Here is a 20,300-nt window from a genome sequence, read left to right as displayed (position 1 = left end):
CCCAGATACAGAGGGAAGTCATTCGTGTCCTGATGAGCATGGGGCACCCATCCAGGAGCCGTCTAATGTTACAGGCCTGAGCCCCAGCACCAGCATTCAGGCCGCCAGATCTCAACTCGACACCTTGTGCCTTTCAACAGCCTGGCTGATGCCACAACCCCAGGCCAGAAAACCTTTTTCTCAAGGTTGAAAGTAGCTGACCTTTGACAAGCAGCATTGGCTAAATTCCTTGTTCCTTAAAAGGAAAGCTCCCAGTTATCATTAGCCAGTGTTTATTTGGCCGCAGGGCAGGAGCAGGCCCTATACTGCACCCTGTGTACCCAGCAGGAGGGTTTGTGGCTGGAAGTACATGGGCGAACAGTCATTATTAAAATAGCCATTTTTGAAAACGTGTGCTGGAGAGGGACGCATCCAGCCTGTCAGCTGGTCTGCACCCCATCTCATGTGGCTAGACAGCTCGTTGGTTCTCTGGCTCCCTCACAGGCAACAGTGCCATCCACTCCACACCAGCACACTCCTTAACGTGTGCAGCAAGAAAACTGACAGAATGACAAGGACACACACCAATTATTAAATGTCTGGGCTTGTGTTTTTAATGTAGGGGTGACAGTCCAAAGATTGACTTGGCCGGCAGTTCGCTATCTGGCATCCTGGACAAAGATCTCTCGGACCGCAGCAATGACATTGGTGAGTAAGGACAGTGTTCTCGCTTCTCTTTGCAGAGTTAGTAAAGAACCTCAGAGCCTGGCTTGCCTTCAACCAGCATGATGAGAAGTAATAAAGCCATTGAAATGCCAGGCTGGCACCCTTGCTTGGCTTTAGGTGTTACAGTTTTGTAAAGAAGGGAAATGATGGTGCTTTCCACATTAAAACACAATGCCTGGGACCTTTCCCCTCCCTAGGAGAAATTCCTTACAAGATCTAATGAAAAGAAATGATGAATAAGCCTTTTTGTAAAAAGTGGGCATTAGCCCTTATGTTCACAGTTTCCAGTGATTTGTGTATTTTGTGTAAAAAGGTGGATGGATGCAAATGTGAGATGGCAGGGTTCATTGTTGATACAGCACTTTTGACTGAGTTTCAAATGAGCTTTGGTATGGTAATTGCCACTTAGTTCAGAACATGAGTGAGTTTTCCCAAGGTCAGGATACCACCATGTGATAAATGGGAGGGAGCTACAGTCTCTCTGGGTAAATAAAAGTCAGAGGTCCTTTTGGAGGTGTACGTGAGTGGGTGTGAGGCCACCGGTGTGCTGTTAAGGCCACTAGTGGTCTGACCTGGGTGACAACCCTTTTAAGAAGTCCAGATTCAGGGACTAATTTTTTCTTATTATTTTATTTTATTTTTTGACATAAAGGCCATTTAATGATAGAAATATATAAAAATAATCATATTGTTTAGCAACAGGCTATCACATTTCTTGGGAAGAGGAAAATGACCTGCTTTAAGAAAAACTTGCAACCATGTGCAAGTCTTCATTTCAACATATTTTTCCCCATCCACTTAAGCATTTATCCTTTGAGTTATAAACAGTCCAATTACACTATTTTAAAATATACAATTAAATTATTATTGACTATAGAGATGCTATTGTGCTATCAAATAGTAGGTCTTATTCATTCTTTCTAACTATATTTTTTGTACCTATTAACCATCCCCACCGCCTCCCCACCCCAGCCCTGTACTACCCTTCCCAGCCTCTGGTAATCATCCTTCTGCTCTCTACCGCCATGAGTTCAATTGCTTTGATTTTTAGATCCCACAAATAAGTGAGAACATGCAATGTTTCTCTTTCTGCACCTGGTTTATTTCACTTAACATAATGATCTTCAGTTCCATCCATGTTGTTGCAAATGATAGGATCTCGTTTTTATGGCCAAATAGTATAAATTTTTTTTAGCTTTACATCTTCTGTTTGTACCTATCAAGGTCATAAGTTAGCATTCTCTCGTATTCTACATAATATAGAAGGCTGAATTTTAAAATTTACTTTGTTTTAATTGAACTTTTTATTTTGAAGTCATTGTAGATTCACATGCAGTCGTAAGAAGTAATAGAAATCTGTGTACCCTTTACTCAGTTTCTCCCCAATAGTAACATCTTACAGAACTATAGTACACTGTCATGACTAAGATATTGACATTGATATGATCCACCAATCTTACTCAGATTTTCACAGTTTTACTAGTACTTCTGTGTGTATTTCGCTCTATGCAATATATATATATATATTTTTTTTTTTTTTTTTTTTTTTTTTTTTTTTTTTTTTTTGAGATGGAGTCTTGCTCTGTCACCCAGGCTGGAGTGCAGTGGTACGATCTCGGCTCACTGCAACCTCTGCCTCCCAGGTTCAAGCGATCCTCCCACCCCAGCGTCCTGAGTAGCTGGGACCACAGGTACATGCCACCATGCCTGACTAATTTTTGTATTTTTTGTAAAGGTGGGGTTGCACTATGTTGCCCAGGCTAGTCTCGAACTCCTAGGCTCAAGCGATCCTCCCACCTTAGCCTCCCAAAGTTCCGGGATTACAGCTGTGAGCTACCGCACCCAGCCTGCAATTTTATCATACATGTAGGTTTGTGTATCTACCACCAGTCAAGACATAGAACATTTCCATCACCACTAGATCCCTTGTGTTACTCTTGTTAAGCCACACCCACCTTTCTCCAGCCCACCCCCTTCCCTAACCTCTGGCAAGCACTATCAGGGATTGATTTGACATGGAAGATAGCTTTCCAGCATCATCTGCTTGGGCCACTCACTTTAGAAACAGATGTGCGATGGTTGGCAGGCCTTGTAAGAGCACTAGAGCTCTCAACATGAGCATTCTGCTCTCCTGCTGCTGTCCCTCTGTTTGGGTGCTGTTTTCCTCTGAATCTGCTGATAGAGTTGCATCTTTGCAACTGCTGACCTGCAGTCTCTGGTCTGATCTCATGCAGGCTTGGGGCTAGGATGTGTGACTGTGACTGTTAATGCCAAAAGTACTTCCCCTGTTTCCACAAGCTCGTTTACATCCTCAGCCCTTGAGAAGCCCAGTCAGGAAGCATAACCTGATAGCTTGGGCTGATGCAATAACAGAAACTCTGGCCTGCTGTAGCTTTTGTTCTGCTTAAAGTGCAGGCAGAGCAGAGCAGAGCAGTAATTGGCTGTGAATGAAAGGGGATTGTCAGAATGAGCCTAAGTTCCGGTTCTACCACCGCAGTTTCGTATTTGGGCCCTGTTTTAAGCCAGGGTGGCTGGTTGGTGAAGGTCATGTGCGACCTCAGGAGGCTGTCTTGTCACCTCCCTCATGTCAATAGGAAGGGAGGTATTCTCCCTCCTCCAGAATATACAGGATAATCTGTCTTGCTTGCTAAGAGCATTCACCTTTGACCTTTGCATTCTTTGGGTCTGGAGATGTCTATGATCGCTATCATGAAAATATGAATCACATGTTTTTCAGTCTGATGAGCTAGTGTGGAAATATTGGGGGTATTGATGGGGGGGCGGGTTCACCTATAGAAGCTTTTCATGCTGTGGAAACTAAGCACAGTTGCATATATTTGGGAGCCCAGAAATAGAGTACTGAGGTTTGGTTTTCTCTCTCTCTTTGCCACAGAGACATTAATCCTAGAAGGCTATATCTTCTCAAGTTAATGGTATTTTTGTTTTGAGATAGTCTTGCTCTGTCACCCAGGCTGGAGTGCAACAGTGCAATCATTGCTCACTGCAGCCTCTAACTCCTGGGCTCATGCAATCCTCCCACCTCAGCCCAGGAGAATCGCTTGAACCCGGGAGACAAAGGTTGCAGTGAGCCGAGATCACACCACTGTACTCCAGCCTGGGGAACAAGAGCAAAACTCCATCTTAAAAAAAAAAAAAAAGGTCTCCAAAACCTAGTAATCATTTTGTAATGTAAAACGTCCCCTTAGGGTGTTAAATGTGTGTATTGTTGTACACCATTTTAAAAAATCAAGGTCCACCTGGACTTTGATCTGTAGCTGATTACAACCCTGGTGAAACAATAATCCCAAAGCGTTAGAAAGGATTAAGAGTGTTTTGTAAGCATGTTTGGGGTAGAACATGCCTTTATAACTTTTAATCCTCGTTGAGGTACAGTGTGAGTACAGGAGCTGTGTGTGGAATATCCTTGTGTTAGAATCATTCTGCTAATATAGTGGAGAACAAACCCTCCCCCTTCATCTCCCCTCTTCCATCGTCCTGAGGTTCTAGTGTTGAAATAAGAGCAGTGAGAGCAAGCAAGAGTAAGGAAAGAAAGAACTAATATTCACTGGGTGCCCACTAAATGTTTTGTCTATTTTTTTCTCACCGTCCATAGCCCTATGAAGGATGTGTAATGACTCATGTTTTTACAGTGAAGGAACAGGGAAGAAAGCAAGCTGGGGAAACTGAGCAAGATTATCTGGCTAGTAAGAAATTGGAGTTGAAGGCCAGGCGCGGTGGCTTACACCTGTAATCCCAGCGCTTTGGGAGGCCAAGGCGGGCAGATCACCTGAGGTCAGGAGTTCGAGACCAGCCTGGCCAACATGGTGAAACCCTGTCTCTACTAAAAATACAGAAATTAGCTGGGTGTGGTGGTAGGCGCCTGTAATCCCAGCTACTTGGGAGGCTGAGGCAGGAGAATCGCTTGAACCCGGGAGGCGGAGGTTGCAGTGAGCCAAGATTGCACCACTGCACTCCAGCCTGGGGGACAAGAGCGAGACTTCGCCTCAAAAAAAAAAAAAAAAAAAAAAAAAAATTGGAGTTGAAGCCAGGTCTCTCTGACCCATGAGCCCAAACCTTCTAGGTCCACATCAGCATTTCTCAACTGCTCTCCCCAAGGGGACATTTGGCAATGTCTGGAGACATTTTTGACTGTCACATCATAGGGGTGGGGGTGGAGATGCTACTGGCATCTAGTGGATAGAGGCCAAGGATGCTGCTAACCATCCACCAGTGTGTAGGATAGCCCCCACAGACAACAAAGAATGACCCAGCCCCAAATGTCAATAGCACCGAGGCCCAGAGAGCCCAGTCTGTGTTAGGAACAGGAAGAGGACAGGCTTCCCCTGCAAGTGCAACTTGTGTTCCCTGGAGTGGCCTGTCTCATTTCCTGAGAATCTCTATAAAACCTAGTTTGAAAATATTTCATATACAAAAAAGTAATTATATTTGAAGTAATTAAACATCAACCAAGGACATGACTGTGACCTTTGTGAGAGAGAAAGAGGAAGGGGGGGGAGAGAGAGAGAGAGGCGAGAGAAGAGAGGGGAGAGGGGCCATCTTAAGGCTTGCAGCAAGTGAAATGATACCATTTGAGTCTGATTTCAAATAGAAAGAGTATTGGATTTGTGATTAGATATTTGCCAAAGATCAACTACCCAGTGTTTAAACGGGTATTACATAAAAGGACAATAACAAATTTGATCAATACTAAGTTCTAAATCTGTACTCTGTATGGTAAAGTTATACAGGAGAGCAAGAGAGAGCAATTGTAATAGCGACCATTAACACAACATTTTTGTGAATGTGACACCAAATGTCTACAAACAAGTGATTACATTCTTACCTTATTTTGCAATTTCTACCTTTCATGATAATAAATCACTTCTAAGGGTTTCTCATACAAATTTTGAGGAAAAATTCAGATCTCCTGACTTGGGGCTATTGGTTTTTCTGTCCTGTTTTTAAAATACATATTTTAAACTTCCCCTTTTGGAGCCAGAGAGCCAGTTATTGGTCCTTGCAGCATGTCAGATCATTGAGCAATTGCTCAGGTTCAATAAAACAAGATATACTGTGTCCTGCCTGCCATTAAAAAAAAACAAAAACCCATGAATGACACTTGGAGTGTTCCAGATTGACTACTGGCTGAGCGTGTGTGTGAACAACAGCCGCGCCTTCCAGCTCTCTCGGGATTAGTTGCTCAGACATGAGAACTTTCACTGAAGAGCCACGGCTGGCTCCTACAGACACTGTCTCCTTACTGGCAACCTTCAGACACAGCCTTTGGGACCAAGGACATGGTTGATGTTACCTGTGCTGAAGAACAGGAGATACGGTTGCTACTGGTCTACAGTCAAGTCTGCATATGACGGGCTGCGGTGCCCATGTGTGGACGTGTGCAGCTCCGGTCCCTATCTAGGGACACAAATCGTGATCAAACTTAAATTTTTGTCAGGAGTAGCTGAAAAGCACTATACATTTCTCAAGTGTGATGACAGAAAGCAAAAGAGATTGTGCTGAGGGTCAAACGCTTTATACAAAGGAAGTGAAACAGGTTGCGCTTCTGATTGATGGGTTTTTAACCCAGGCAATCCTCTGAGCATTTTGGGTTCCTTCCTCGAACTTACAGAGGCGTAGCTAATTCAGAACAGCTTCTGTGGATGGCCTTCTCCCTGCATCGCCCTTGAGCCCTCCCCTGGTTCCCAGCCTCTCAGGCTCACAGTGGAGGTGTGCTGCTGAGGAAACAAGGTCAAGTTGGCAACCAGCACTCATTTCGAAAGGCATCCTCCAGTCCTACAGGAGATGGTCCTTCAGGGCCCTTTGAAGGGCCTGATCTTGGGTGTAAAATGAGCATCTCCACTTAGACTTTCTCAGTCAAAGATGTTGATCCTCACCAGAACCGAGGTGCTCACCTCTGCCTGTGCACCTTGCACAGGGCGGTCCTGCTGGCCTTTGGTGGTCCATCACGGTGGCTGGGTTTGTGCTTAGTTATGAGGGTCTTCACGAACATCTTTTACCCCATAACATCCCATAAGCGCAAACTCAGTAAACATTGAAAGTGCCTGTAGGAAAAGCCTCACAAATGCTATAGAAACAGGGGGAGATTACGTCAAAGTGGGGACATGATGGCAAATGTTGCAGAACCTCACTGCAGCAGTGCATTTGGTGGTATGAATTATTCCAATATACAGAGAGCAAATTAGTACTGTCCTACCCAAGTGCTCTATACCCACCAGCCTGCAAAATAGCTGACCTGAGAGAGGTGGAGGGACATTTAGGGAGCATCAATTCAGATGGCTGTTGGCTTGGAGAGGGTCACAGAGGCTAGTAGCTGTGTGGACTTGCAGGCAGCCCCAAATGCTCACCTATGTGCAGAGTCAGCATGTCCTGCCTCCCCTGGTAATGTGGTCGCCTGCATCTCTGTGGCCAGCGCTCTCGTTCATCATTCAGTCTGATGGCTTGAGTGCCTCTATGTTTGCTACATGCTGAGACCGTATTCTAGTGCCGTATTCTGGAGGTACTGGGTGTACCTACAGATTTAAGAATGCAAATCTGGAGGTACACCCAGTGGATTCAAAGTAGTCTCATAGAACAAAGAGACTTATATAGTGACCTTTGCTGCATCCACAGTATACACCACAGAGGTCTCTGAACTGAAAATGAATGTGGAAGCAAGGGAACAGGTGATGTTCAGCTCTCAGATCTCACATGGCATTTATTTGGCTTGAGGTGCCCCCCTCCCCCTGTCCCCTGGCTGTGGGCTCATGGATTGGCAGAGCCCAGTTATGGCTTCCGTTTTACTTGCAAATATCCAGAGGAATGTACAGTCTACCAGAAAATTGTGCTCAGGCATCCCTTTGTCACATTAAAAGCATTATGGACACACGACATTTTATTAAGTATTTTGTTCTGGTATCACTTTATTAAGTAAATTATCAAAATCCTTATTTAGCCATGGACTCTCATTAAAGCATGTTCTGGAAACCTTGGCCAAGGTTAGGAGCCTGTAAAGTTTGATTCATTGCAAGAGAAAAGTGATTAGCAGTTGGAGAGTGACATTGATGGGCCCCATTAAAAGGTCATTGGATGTGGTGGTGGCAAGCGAAGGTTGGAGTTGGAGGTCAGCAGGATGCCCTGATTTAGAACCAAGCTTACCTTTGCATAACCTATAGTGACACTCTCTTCATCTCCCCACGCCTTAGCCATGTCTCCCTGAGGTTCATACTGTTTGGAATTTCACAGGCTCATTTATCAAAAAAAAAAAAAAAAGGCTTTCAATTTGGGAGACGGCTTGATTTTTCTTTTATTAATGATGCACATTCAAAATAAACAAATGCCATCTCCTACTGGAAAGGGTATAATCTCCAAGTGTAAAATTGAACAAATTTAGCTTAATGGGAAACTCACAATGTTGACCTTTTTCTCAGTGCATTATGACTGGTGATAACCTTGGCGCAGACACGTGCCAGTTCTTTTGAAAACCATAGGTCCAGCTCACATCTGCAAAGATGGAAGGTGGCGGGAAAGAGAAATGTTGGGGGCAAGGAAAAGGCCCTAGAGAGAGTCAGGCGTTGAAGCAGTGGCTCAGGTAAAAACTTAAGTGTCCAGAAATGTACAATTAGCAGATTAACTTTTTTTTTTGATAGAGATAGGATTACTTGTAATTTTTTTCCTAAGAAAAAGTCATGGAGTGTCAGATTTTTCAGAGCACTTTAAATCCTTTTTACCTTCTCCTGATGTTTACAAATGAGAAATAGCTCATCAAGTTACCCAGGCTGGTGAATGAGAGCCTGCCAGCCCTTTCTAGCAGTTTTGGGGGACTCTTGTCTCTCCTAGGGTAGTAAAAAGCATACTAGGCTTTGAGACAGAAGGTTTTTCCTCCTCAAATTTTGTAGTAAGTGTAATTTTGGCTTCCATGTAATTCTGGACATTAGAATATTATTGTCTCACATATGCATTAAAATTCTATATTATGAGTATCAGACTGCTCTTTTTTTTTTTTTTTTTTTTTTAGACAGGGTCTTGCTCTGTTGCCCAGGCTGGAGTGCAGTGGCACAGTCACAGCTCACTGCATGCTCAACCTCCCAGGCTCAAGCAGTCCTCCTACCTCAGCCTCCCAAGTAGCAGGGACCACAGGTGTGCACCACCATGCCCAGCTAATTTTTTATTTTTTGTAAAAATGCATCTCACTGTGTTGCACAGGCTGGTCACAAACTGCTAGGCTCAAGCAATCCTCCCACCTCGCTTCCCAAAGTGCTGGGATTACAGGCATGAGTCATTGCACCTGGCCCTGCTCCTCTTATATCTAAATAAAGTGCTGTTAAAGAAGATGAAATGACCCATACATCTTGCTCTCCAAAAAGAAATGTGCACTCTGCTCTGGCTGCTCATCCCACTGAAGCTGACCATCAAGCACACCATTGTACCTCCTTGGATCTTGGTTTTTCATCATTAATCCAGGGGCTTGGATGACATGATCATAAATAACCCAATTCAGGCAGTGCATGGGGTCTCATTCCTGTAATCCCAGCACTTTGGGAGGCAGGAGGGATCACTTGAGGCCAGCAGTTCGAGACCAGCCTGGGCAATATAGGGAAATACTCTGTCTCTACAAAAAATATTAAAAAGAAAGGACCCAGCGCAGTGTCACAGTCTATGTTTCTCTAACCCTGTCCATTTCTTTTAGCTGAGTTTTCTAGACATTGAGAAAACTGCTGTTTTGGTAGCCTCTGAATCCTCTTTGAAATGAAGCAGCTTATTCTTTCCTTTGTCTCTTTACTTCATTTTCTTTAGTTCTGTCAGTTCTTTTAATCTAGAATTGATAATTTGGCCCTTTATAAGATCTAATCTAGGGGTTTTTTTTTTGGCTTAATGATTTTTTGCTTTTAAATGATTTGCTGGCTATATGGAGATTTAAGAAATTGTTAAGGGGTTATGAACATAACTATTTTTTTTTTTATTTTTAGTGATGGGGTGTTGCTATGTTGCCCAGGCTAGACTTGAACTCCTGGGCTCAAGTGATTCTCCCACCTTAGCCTCCTGAGTAGCTGCGACTTATAGGCATGCTACTGCACCTGGCTCATGAGCATACCTTTTTGTAAAGTTTTAAAAAGTACTCATTCATCTTTTAAAAGAATTATTTTGATTTTTTTAACCCAAGTTATTACGGGGAAATGTAAAAGAGTAGGATGTTTGCCCTCCTAAATAAGTTTGAGATCCTAGAGAAAACCCTGACATAGATGCAAGTTCCAGGTTGCAAGTTCTATTTTCAAATCAGTTGGTTAGTAATTCTTTGCTTCCAGTGACATTGAAGGAGGTACCCACTAAGTTGTTTGGTGGTAGACCATTAAAAATAATAATTCCTGGTGATGCTAGACTACGGTCTGGTTTTTGGTATATAATTTGCAAGGAGTTCAGAGAATTGAGTGACATTGATAACAAAATTATTTCCGTTCTGGCCGGGCGCAGTGGCTCACACCTGTAATCCCAGCATTTTGGGAGGCCGAGGCAGGTGGATCACGAGGTCAGGAGTTTGAGACTAGCCTGGCCAATATGGTGAAATCCCGTCTCTACTAAAGATACAAAAAACTTTTAGGTGGGTGTGGTGGCCCATGCCTGTAATCCCAGCTACTCTGGAGGCTGAGACAGGAGAATCGCTTGAACCCGGGAGGCGGAGGTTGCAGTGAGCCAAGATCGTGCCACTGGTGCCACTGCACTCCAGCCTGGGTGAAAGAGTGAGACTCCATCTCAAAAAGAAAAAAAAAAATTGTTTCCATTTAATCTACTTTTTTTTTTTTTTTTTTTTTTTTTGGTGAGACAGAGTCTCACTCTGTCACCCAGACTGGAGTGCAGTGACGCCATCTCAGCTCACTGCAACCTCCACCTCCCGGGTTCAAGCGATTCTCCTGTCTCAGCCTCCAGAGTAGCTGGGATTACAGGCATGGGCCACCACACCCAGCTAAATGTTTTTTGTATTTTTAGTAGAGACGGGGTTTCACCATGTTGGCCAGGCTGATCTTGAGCTCCTGACCTCAAGTGATCCACCCGCCTCGACCTCCCAATGTGCTGGGATTACAGGCATGAGCCACCACACCCAGCCTCCATTCCATCTACTTCTATTTAAGTGAACAAATTTTCTTGGCACTTACGTCTCTAAAATGAAAAATAGAGAGTTGATACCAAACCATCTCTTCCTGGTATTGAGTGATAATCATACACACATGAAGTGTTTGAGGGAAAAGCCCAATAAAATTCTGTTTTGTCATGCTTAAAAATTATTTATCAAAATGTGTTCTGATCATTTGTATACTAATAATAATGTAATGAGAACTCAATCCAAAAGAAAAATAATTTTTACACTTAGAGTCTTAAGATTTCAGGAAAGAAAAAATCTTAAACTTCAATTTCTATACATGTTTTTACAATAGAAAGATGATAAAATAGTTAACAACAGACTTGAAAATGGATTAGGATAAAATTCAGCAGTAGGGGTTGGAAATATGAATTTAAGGAGGAAAAGGAAGGATGTAAAATTTCCAACTGTTAAAATCTTATGATATTTTAAAATGGATGATGGTGGTGGTTAAATTGCTGCAGTATTCAAATATATATTGGATATATTTAAGAAATCTATGTAAGTTATATTTTAAAATCTCAATGTTTAGAATATAACAGAAATTACATCCTTTGTGAGTAAAACTTACATAAAAGTTTAGATTTCAACTTGATATGTGTGAGGAGGATATACAAGGGTTTCCAAAATTATTTTAGCAAGTACACTGGCTTCATAAATATATCATTTTATACTTACACAAACATTTCTATGGATTAATTTCTAGAAGTGACACTGATATATCTGAAGGTGTACACATTTACATTTTGTAATAGGTATTGCCAAATGGCATACAGAAAGGTTGTGCCAATTTATGTTCCTGTGGATAATAGTGTAACTACTGTTTCCAATAGAGAATTACATTATTTATCAGATCACTTTGCATAGCAAATTTGGGCCTGTAGTGAGCAATTTTTAAAGGAATGCAAATGTGGAGAGCTACTTTTCCCCACTTAGCATTGCTTGTCATCAATCCAAGTGAATCACTACCTCTCCTCGAAGCAAGACTACAGTAAGACGTGTCCCCCCTTTCTCTGATCTAAATTGGGTCCCCATGCTATCATTGCTAATTTCACCTTTTATCATTCTTTCATAGTAACTAAGAGAATTTGTAATTATCCATACAAAAGCCTGTCTCCCTCAGTGGGTTCTTAGCTCCATGTGGGCAGGGAATGTGGCTATTTTCCACCCCTGTATCCCCCTTTGCCTAGCCCAGTGCCTAGCTCATAGTGTATGCTCAGAAAAATAGCCACTGAATGAATGGGCTGAGCGTTTAAGTGAGGGGAAATATCAAGATGCAGGATCATAATACACAATCTTCATTGCCACTAGCCATGTGTGACTATTAAAATTTAATTAAATAGCTATACTTACCCATAATCTATGCACTCTGTAGCCACGTGGGGCTGGTGGCTACGATTTGAATAGTATAGATTATAGAAGATCATCACAGCAAGTTCTACTGGACAGTGCTGATATAGGATGATTGTACATTCATTTTCAAAACTATCCCTATGCTTGGCACAAAGTAAATACTTAAGAAATGTTTGATTGAATTAATGAGCAAATAAACACTGTATCTCCCTCTCTTATTCTTGAGCTACACGTTTTGATGTAGAAGTTGCTTGTACCAAATAGCCAAACATTCTCTTAACTTGCCTAACACATTACATTTCTTGCCACAGAGTGCCTTGAAGAAGCCAGCCCCTTTTCCTGCCCATTTGAAAACACATTTGAATAAAATAGAAAAAAAACAAGCAACGTTCTGTAGTGGAAAGAATCCCTTGGATGTGAATCTGTGTGTGGGCCCTGTTACTTGTTGGCAGTGACCTTGGGCATGTTTTCTAACCTCTGGCCCTCCATCTCTTTCTTTGTGGATTATAGTAATGCCCACACAGCATGGGGTTTTGTGTACATGAAATGAGGGTGTGTGCATGCGAAGCATCTAGTAATGGCATGGCTGGCACATGGAGTTCAAAACAGTAGCTCAAAACTTGTTTATAGCAAGGCATGGTGGCTCATGTCTGTAGTCCTAGCACTTTGGGAAGCTGAGGCAGGAGGATTGCTTGAGGCCAGGAGTATGAGATCAGCCTGGGCAACATAGCAAGATCTCATCTCTACCAAAAAATAAGACAAAACAAAAAATAACTGGGTGTGGTAGCTAGCTAATTGGGAGGCTGAGGCAGGAGGGTTGCTTGAGCCCAGGAGCTTGAAGCTATAATACCATGAGCTATGATCACACCACTGCATGCACTCCAGACTGGGTGACAGAACGAGACCCTGTCTCTAAAAAAAAGAAAAACCAAAACCCCCTAAAACTTATTTATTCTCAGCAGCTTGCGTCCTGCAAACTTCACACCTGGATTATAAATGAAAACACAACAGCTGATCTCCTATATCCTTACACATTTTGGAGGGCTTATTTTCCTGCAGAATCTAATCATTGCTAATCATTTCAGTTAGTGAGTCAGCTAACACAGGTGCTCATTTGACCCCTCCCTAATATTGGGCCCATCTTGATAGTCTGCACAGATTTTCCACACTAGTCAAATGACTGAGGCATGGAGCGAGACTTCCTCCTCCCATTCAGACTACCTCATGGTGTTTCTGCAATGCGGAGAAAGTACCTGCGGCCCTGTGGGTTTAGAGTTTTCTCATCTTAGACCTTGGAAAAAAAAAAAAAGGTAGGGGAGGGGGGATTTCTAGCCTTGCTCTTAGATTCTTGTTTCCAAATCCCACAGCTCCGTTAATGGTGTATGAAAACAGAATTCTATCTGCATGATTTGAAAGGGTTTTCACATAGTCTCTCATTTACGAAAGAATAATCTTATGAAGCTGATGGCTCAGATAATTCTCTCATTTTTTTCCTGCTGGAAAATCTGAAGCCTAGAAAGGTTGTTTGTTAATGTATTTAATAATCATTTTTTGAACACTCGCTGCAAGCCAGGAGTGATCTTAAGTCCAGGGAAACAGAGAGAAAAGCCATAGCTTCTTCCCTGGCTGGTGGGGGAGGCAGAGAAGTCAACAGGAAATGTCAGTACAGGGCACTAAATGCCGAGATCACGATGATGGGTGAGTAGGGATGCACCCAACCCAGGTCTTAGGGTGCAGTCTGGCTTCTTGGAAGACGCCTCAGTTGTGGCACTGAAGGAATTAGTCAGGAGAGGAAGCCCTGAAGGGACATACTCAGATGGGGGCTGTACACCTCTCTGGTGGCAGCATGTGAGTGGTAAGGGGCTTGAAGTGAGAAATCTATTAACAGTGGTTCCAGGCAAGAAATTCAGCGGCCTTAATAATCTGAGACAGGGTGTGGAGGAGAAGAGATGGCTTCCAGAGATATTGGGAGGTAGCGACATTGCCAGGTTTTAGCTGTAAGCAAACTTATATCCTAAAGCTCTGTTTAAAGTGCACAGCAACATGCTATAATGAATGCAGAGAACAATTTAGGAGCTCCCAAAGAACTCTGCTGGTGACAGCTAGCCTGACTTAGCCTTTTGACTGTTTCTCCTCTGTGCTTTCAGTGGATGTGCTTTACGTCACCTGCGGTCACTGGTACCATTGCTCCTATCCATGGAAAATGAGGCTACATTTTCTAATTGAACCAAATAGAGTGTGACTGAAGTTCATGGAAAATGAGCAACTTCATGTGCCATGAAGAGTCAAAGGCCCTTTCCAAGCCAACTCCATCGTGCCCAACATGAATTATCCCCGTATGTCTGCAGAGAGTTTGTTGTCCAAGTATCACAAAAGCAAAGGGCCTCTCGTCCTTATGAAACTAACTTCTTAAAAATACCCCAGCATTTGCCAGTTCAATAGTTTTGGACTGACTTATGGGCATTAAAACCTTTTTCTCTTAAGAGGAAAAATTCCCAGCCAGGCCGAGAAAGCTCATATCAAGTTTCAGCTTGATTCATTTCAAAACCACCATGAAAACTGGGACATTTTCTCCACACCACAATGGGTTAGTCATGGAAATTCTGCCTTAATCGCAGCTACCATGGCCACAGCCATGAAGCATGCGCTCTGTGCCTCTGAAAAGTGATGTGACAGTATTGGAGAATTTCTCCCCTTCACTGTCAGAAAGCAGAAATGCATTACAGTTCATGGTCTATGGAAAAATGCCAGGGTAACCTGAGGTTCCCTTTTCAGCAAGCAATCTCATATTTGATACATTTTTTTTCTGTATGGCAGTTTGGTTTGGTAGCTGTTTCCAAAAAGTGCTCTTTCCAAACTAAAACTATGGAAAGTTAAACTTAGCAGAAATGTGCATTAAGCTGGGTGTAGTGGCTCACGCCTGTAATCCCAGCACTTTGGGAGGCCGAGGTGGGTGGATCACCTGAGGTCAGGAGTTCGAGACCAGCCCGGCCAACATGGTGAAACCCCGTCTCTACTAAAAATACAAAAATTAGCCAGGTGTGGTGGCGCGTGCCTGTAATCCAAGCTCCTCGGGAGGCTGAGGCAGGAGAATTGCTTGAACCCGGGAGGCAGAGGTTGCAGTGAGCCGCGATTGTACCACTGCACTGCAGACTGAGGGACAGAGCAAGACTCTGTCTCAAAAAAATATATAATATATATCATATTTTAATATGATATATATTATATTTTAATATGATATATAATATATTAATATGATATATAATATTATATTTTAATATGATGTATATTTTAATATGATATATAATATATTTTAATATGATATATATTTTAATATATATAATATATTTTAATATATATAATATATTTTAATATGATATATAATATTATATTTTAATATGATATATAATATTATATTTTAATATGATATATATTATATTTTAATATGATATATAATATATTTTAATATGATATATAATATTATATTTTAATATGATATATAATATTATATTTTAATATATATAATGTATTTTAATATATATAATATATTTTAATATATATTATATATTATATTTTAATATATATTATATATTATATTTTAATATATATTATATATTATATTTTAATATATATTATATATTATATTTTAATATATATTATATATTATATATTTTAATATTATATATAATATTTTATATATATAATATATAATATATATTATATATTAACATATATTTTAATATATATAATATATATATATGCATTAAGAGGTTAAGAGTGGCTTCCCCTGAGGTATTCGGACCTTCCTCTTACTCATGAGTGACAGAAATAGAGCAGTCTTCTCTGCCATATGTCCTGGAGACTCTTGCTAAGCGTGGCCAGGCTTCACTGTGCATAGGTCTTCTTAGTGCAAACCTCAACCAGTAAAACAGAATGGGCCATTCTGCCTTCTCTGCATCCATAGCAGAGAATGCTTCTTCAGCCTCGAAGCTACTCACATCCCGCTAGGAGCCACTTCTATAAGCTACATTCCTGGTTTTTTTCTTGAGATAGTTTGTTCATTTGTTCGCTTGTTCCTTTATTGACAGAGGAACCAGCATGTTTTCCCTAGGAACATTCTAGACTTTGAGAACACAAGGATGAGTTCCTGCCCTCCTGGGGCTCACAGCCTAAGTGCGGGAGACAGACATCACACTTCTGGGTTGTTTTAAAAGTATAACTCATTACAGACTGCCACCTCACACATTCTGAAATCCTAAACTGCCAGGTGGACTTAATTCAGTGGGCCCAGGAGGGTCGGGGGATGGCAAAGATGGAATCCTCCCTGGAGTCCTGGCAGAAGTTTCCTGGTGTTAACTTGTCCACCCCTGCACACAAGTGGACTTACCAAGTCCATCCTAAGAGGGGCCCAAAGCTGTCCCATCCCCTCCCCTGGCTCTCTGCATTCCTCTCCCACCCCACTGTTATGCTGGGTCACATCTCGGGCCTCTTCCTGGCTCCAGCTGCAGTGTGTCTGACCTGTCACCAATCATTCGAGCCTTTGGCCACCATTTTCGTCAAGTGCTCCAGCACCTCTGTGGCCCTCCAAATCGGGCCAGCACTCCTCAGCCCAGCATGGGAGGACCCACTGTTAGAGAGCCCAGGCAGGCTCTCTATTCACTGGGCCCTGGAACACCCTTCAGTCACTTGGTGGCCTCTCCACTCCTCCGCTTGGCCAAATCCTCACTCCCTTCCCTCCCCTCAGCCCCCAGCCTCCTCTAGAGCAGTGCTTCTCAGCTTTTGCCGCATGTTCACATCCCCTGGGGAGATTGACATCTGCTTGTGCCCAGGATGCACCCTAGATGGGGTGAGTCAGTTCCTGGGATGCAGTGGTGTTTTGTTTTTTTAAATTGTCCAGGTGATTCCTCCGTGCAGCTGAGTTGGAGAAGCAGTGTTAATTAGCCTTTCGTTGTTCTTTAGTCACTTCATCCTGTTCAGTTTTTGCTCCTGAGCTTGTTTTAGTTTCCTGGACAGAGCCATAATATAGGTTTGTCCAGCTCTGCCCCTGGTAGCTACCAGCCAAGGCCGTTGGCAGCTGTCTGTTTGCTGGAAACTTTAACAGCCCCCTCTTCCATCTCCTTCACTGGCTGCCAGTCAGCATCTGCTCCTTGGGTTTTTGTCCTCTCTCCTCTTCCCGAGCCTTCCTCTGCCCCTCGTTATGCCTCTGTCCTCCCCAACCAGCACCCCGCCCGGCCCCCAACAAACCTCCCTGTCCTGGGCCTTATTTCCTTCTTCCAGAACAGTTGGAGATCTGCACGGATAAGCTGCTGAACTCATTATATGTAGAGTACATGCAAGGATATTTGTGCGGCGCTCTTCCAAAACAGTAAAACATAGGAGGGGGAAATGATTTGGAAACTAGCTATCCAACAAATGGGATTGATTAATTGCAGTGCAACAACAATTAAAATATTTACAAAGAATTGTTAGAGACATGGCATATCCGGTTAAGGGAAATAAGCAGAATGCAGTATTACATATAGTATGAGCTATACTATCTACAGGAAAAGAAGCCTGGAGGAGAATGTACCAAAATACTAACAGTGCTTGTCTTGATGTGGTAAGATTATAGCTGACTTTCTTTTCGTTGTTACAATTTCGTGTTTTGTTTTTTAAAAATTATACGCTGATCATGTATTACATTTATCATCAGGGGAAAGTGATTTAAAAAGATGAATTGGGGGGGTGTTCATGTCAGATGGTGGCTTTTTGCATCCATCCAAGTGTGTAATGGGGAATTTTCATTTTAGACAACATGGACTCAGTAGAGGAGAGTCCCAGGGTAGAGTCTGGAGGAGAACCTTTTAAGAAAATAAGTTTCTCCAGCCTGGGCAACATGTCAAAACCCCGTTTCTACAAAAATTAGCCAGGTGTGGTGTTGCGTGCCTGTAGGGAGGCTGAGATGGAAGAATCACCTGAGTCCAGGAGGTTGAGGCTACAGTGAGCCAAGATTGTGCCACTGCCCTCCAGCCTGGGAGACAGAGCAAGACCCTGTCAAAAAAAAAAAAAAGAGGGAGGGAGGGAAAGAAAAGAAAGAAAATAATAATAATAATAAGGTTCTCTTAAAGGGAAGGCCCCTGAGAGGGGTCAGCTTAGTGAGCCAGGACTGGAGAAGCACATTCTAGCAGGGGGAATCTTTGCCCTCCCCCTGGCCAGGGTCCTCCTGGCACCCTGCTGAGCCCAGCTAGAGAGATGGGTGCCTTTATGAGCCTCATTCAGGTACTGGATGCTGATGGGCTCCCTCTTGGCTTCAGAGCGCCACTGATGTTTTCCTTTGTGCCATCTCTGCGGATGGTTAACCTTTCGTTATACCTGCCTTGCCCTGATAAGAGGAGTTATCATCAGGTGCTAGGATAATGTCACTTAATGTAATCCCAGGTGTAATTTAATGGCTTCTCCTGACCAGTGACTTGTGCTTGATTTTGCATATTCTACTAAAGAAAATAGTTTGCAGATAACACCTGCCTGTTCATTAATAGAATAAAGCTGTCATACAGCCAGACCACTTATTATAACCATCAGCAAAAGAATTCTCCCCAAAATAAAGTGAGGGGAAATGCACATCATTTTTTTTAACTTCTCTGTCCTGGACCAGTATAGCTGCAGTTATGGCAGTTAGGATGTTTTTAGCTGCAAATAAAGAATATCTGATTAAAACTGGCTGAAATAACAGGGGTTTGTTAATTTCACATGGCAAGAAGTCTGGGCACTAGATCATCCCAGGGTTGCAGCCCATCGGGGTTGTCAGTTAACATTTTCCATTTTTCTGCCTTGCCATCCTGTGACTAGATGGCCACATGGTCACCAGATGGCTGCCACAGCTCCAGTCATCCTGTCCTTACACAGTAGCATCCCAAGCAGGAAAGAAGAGGAACAGCAACACAAAAGGCCTTCTCACTTGCCTCTCTCTGGACAGAGAGAGATATGTGTTTCCCACAGGCTGTCAGTATACTGCCCTATATTGCTCAGTAACTCAAATTGGACTACATAGCTGCCTCTAGACCAGTCACAAGTGCAGAGGAGCAGGACTGCCATCTCTTCTTGTCTTTTGGAATCAATGACCGGCATCCACTCGCTTGTGGCTGTTGTACCTTGTAATAACTGCCTTTTGTGTCGAGACTGCCAGAGTGTTCTGTCTACTAAAATGGACTTGGATTTGTGGAAAAAAGAGGATTCTTCCTCTAATCCTCTTTATGTAGCTTTTTAAAGATTTATGGATATAGCTGTAGAAGGGAAAAAGAAAAATCCTGTTTCTCTCTCTTCCATGCAATAGCTTGTTAAACTAAGAAGGACATGATTATTCTATTCAGTTTGAATCCTGTTTATTGAATGACCAAAGGACGTAAACAGCCTTTGTAAAAGATGAAGTGTAATCCAGACAGAAAGGATTATTATTGAGGAAGAGAGGTGCTTATGACATATCATAAGAGTCTTTGCTCCTATTTTGGCTCTTAAAACTGTTTTACTTTTGTTTTAGACTTAGAAGGTTTTGACTCCGTGGTATCATCTACTGAGAAACTCAGTCATCCGACCACAAGCAGACCAAAAGCTACAGGGAGGCGGCCTCCGTCCCAGTCCCTCACATCTGTAAGTGTCTCCTCAAACTGTATGTTCCCTTACTTCTCTACAGCGGAAAAGCAGGACAGATTAGAAACTCTAGCTAAGGACTCTTCTGCAAGCAGCCGATTTGAGGACACCCTGGGAGAGGGAGGCCATGAGATACACTGCCAACCAAAAGTGATTTCAGTCTTCTTGACTTGAGCGGCATTTCTTTCTATTTGTTCTTTGTGTTTCTGCCAGCAAGGTAGGTGCTCTGTATTCCCACTTTCCTTTTCTTTCCTTCCAGACTGATTCTTATTTTAACCTGAAATGAAATGGGTAAGAAAAAAAATCACGTTTTATGGGTGGGGAGAGGAGAATGAGGCTGGTTTGGTGTGTAAACAAAACAAAACTTTACTAAATAAAGATCTGCTCCTATATAGCGCCAGGCAGCAGCCGAACCTTTCTCTCTCAAATCCCCGTTGCCTGTACCCCTCCACAGAATACCACGCAGACCTTCAGGAGATTGTTT

General features: G+C 42.5%; 1 protein-coding gene across 31 annotated transcripts in view; it reads left to right on the top strand.

The window, feature by feature from the left end:
• The window catches only part of SH3KBP1 (SH3 domain containing kinase binding protein 1), a 353,624-nt gene that overhangs the window by 317,811 nt on the left and 15,513 nt on the right, over positions 1-20,300 (top strand). For all 31 annotated transcript variants that reach the window (NM_001353890.2, NM_031892.3, NM_001353892.2 and 28 more), the window contains 2 exons: positions 602-687; positions 19,707-19,816. In NM_001353890.2, the coding sequence (NP_001340819.1) occupies positions 602-687; positions 19,707-19,816 (196 nt within the window). The remainder of the gene's footprint in view (positions 1-601; positions 688-19,706; positions 19,817-20,300) is intronic.

This window comes from Homo sapiens, chromosome X, assembly GCF_000001405.40.
Source record: "Homo sapiens chromosome X, GRCh38.p14 Primary Assembly".
In the NCBI taxonomy this organism is placed as follows: Eukaryota; Metazoa; Chordata; class Mammalia; order Primates; family Hominidae; genus Homo; species Homo sapiens.
This window is presented reverse-complemented; position numbering and strand designations above follow the sequence as displayed.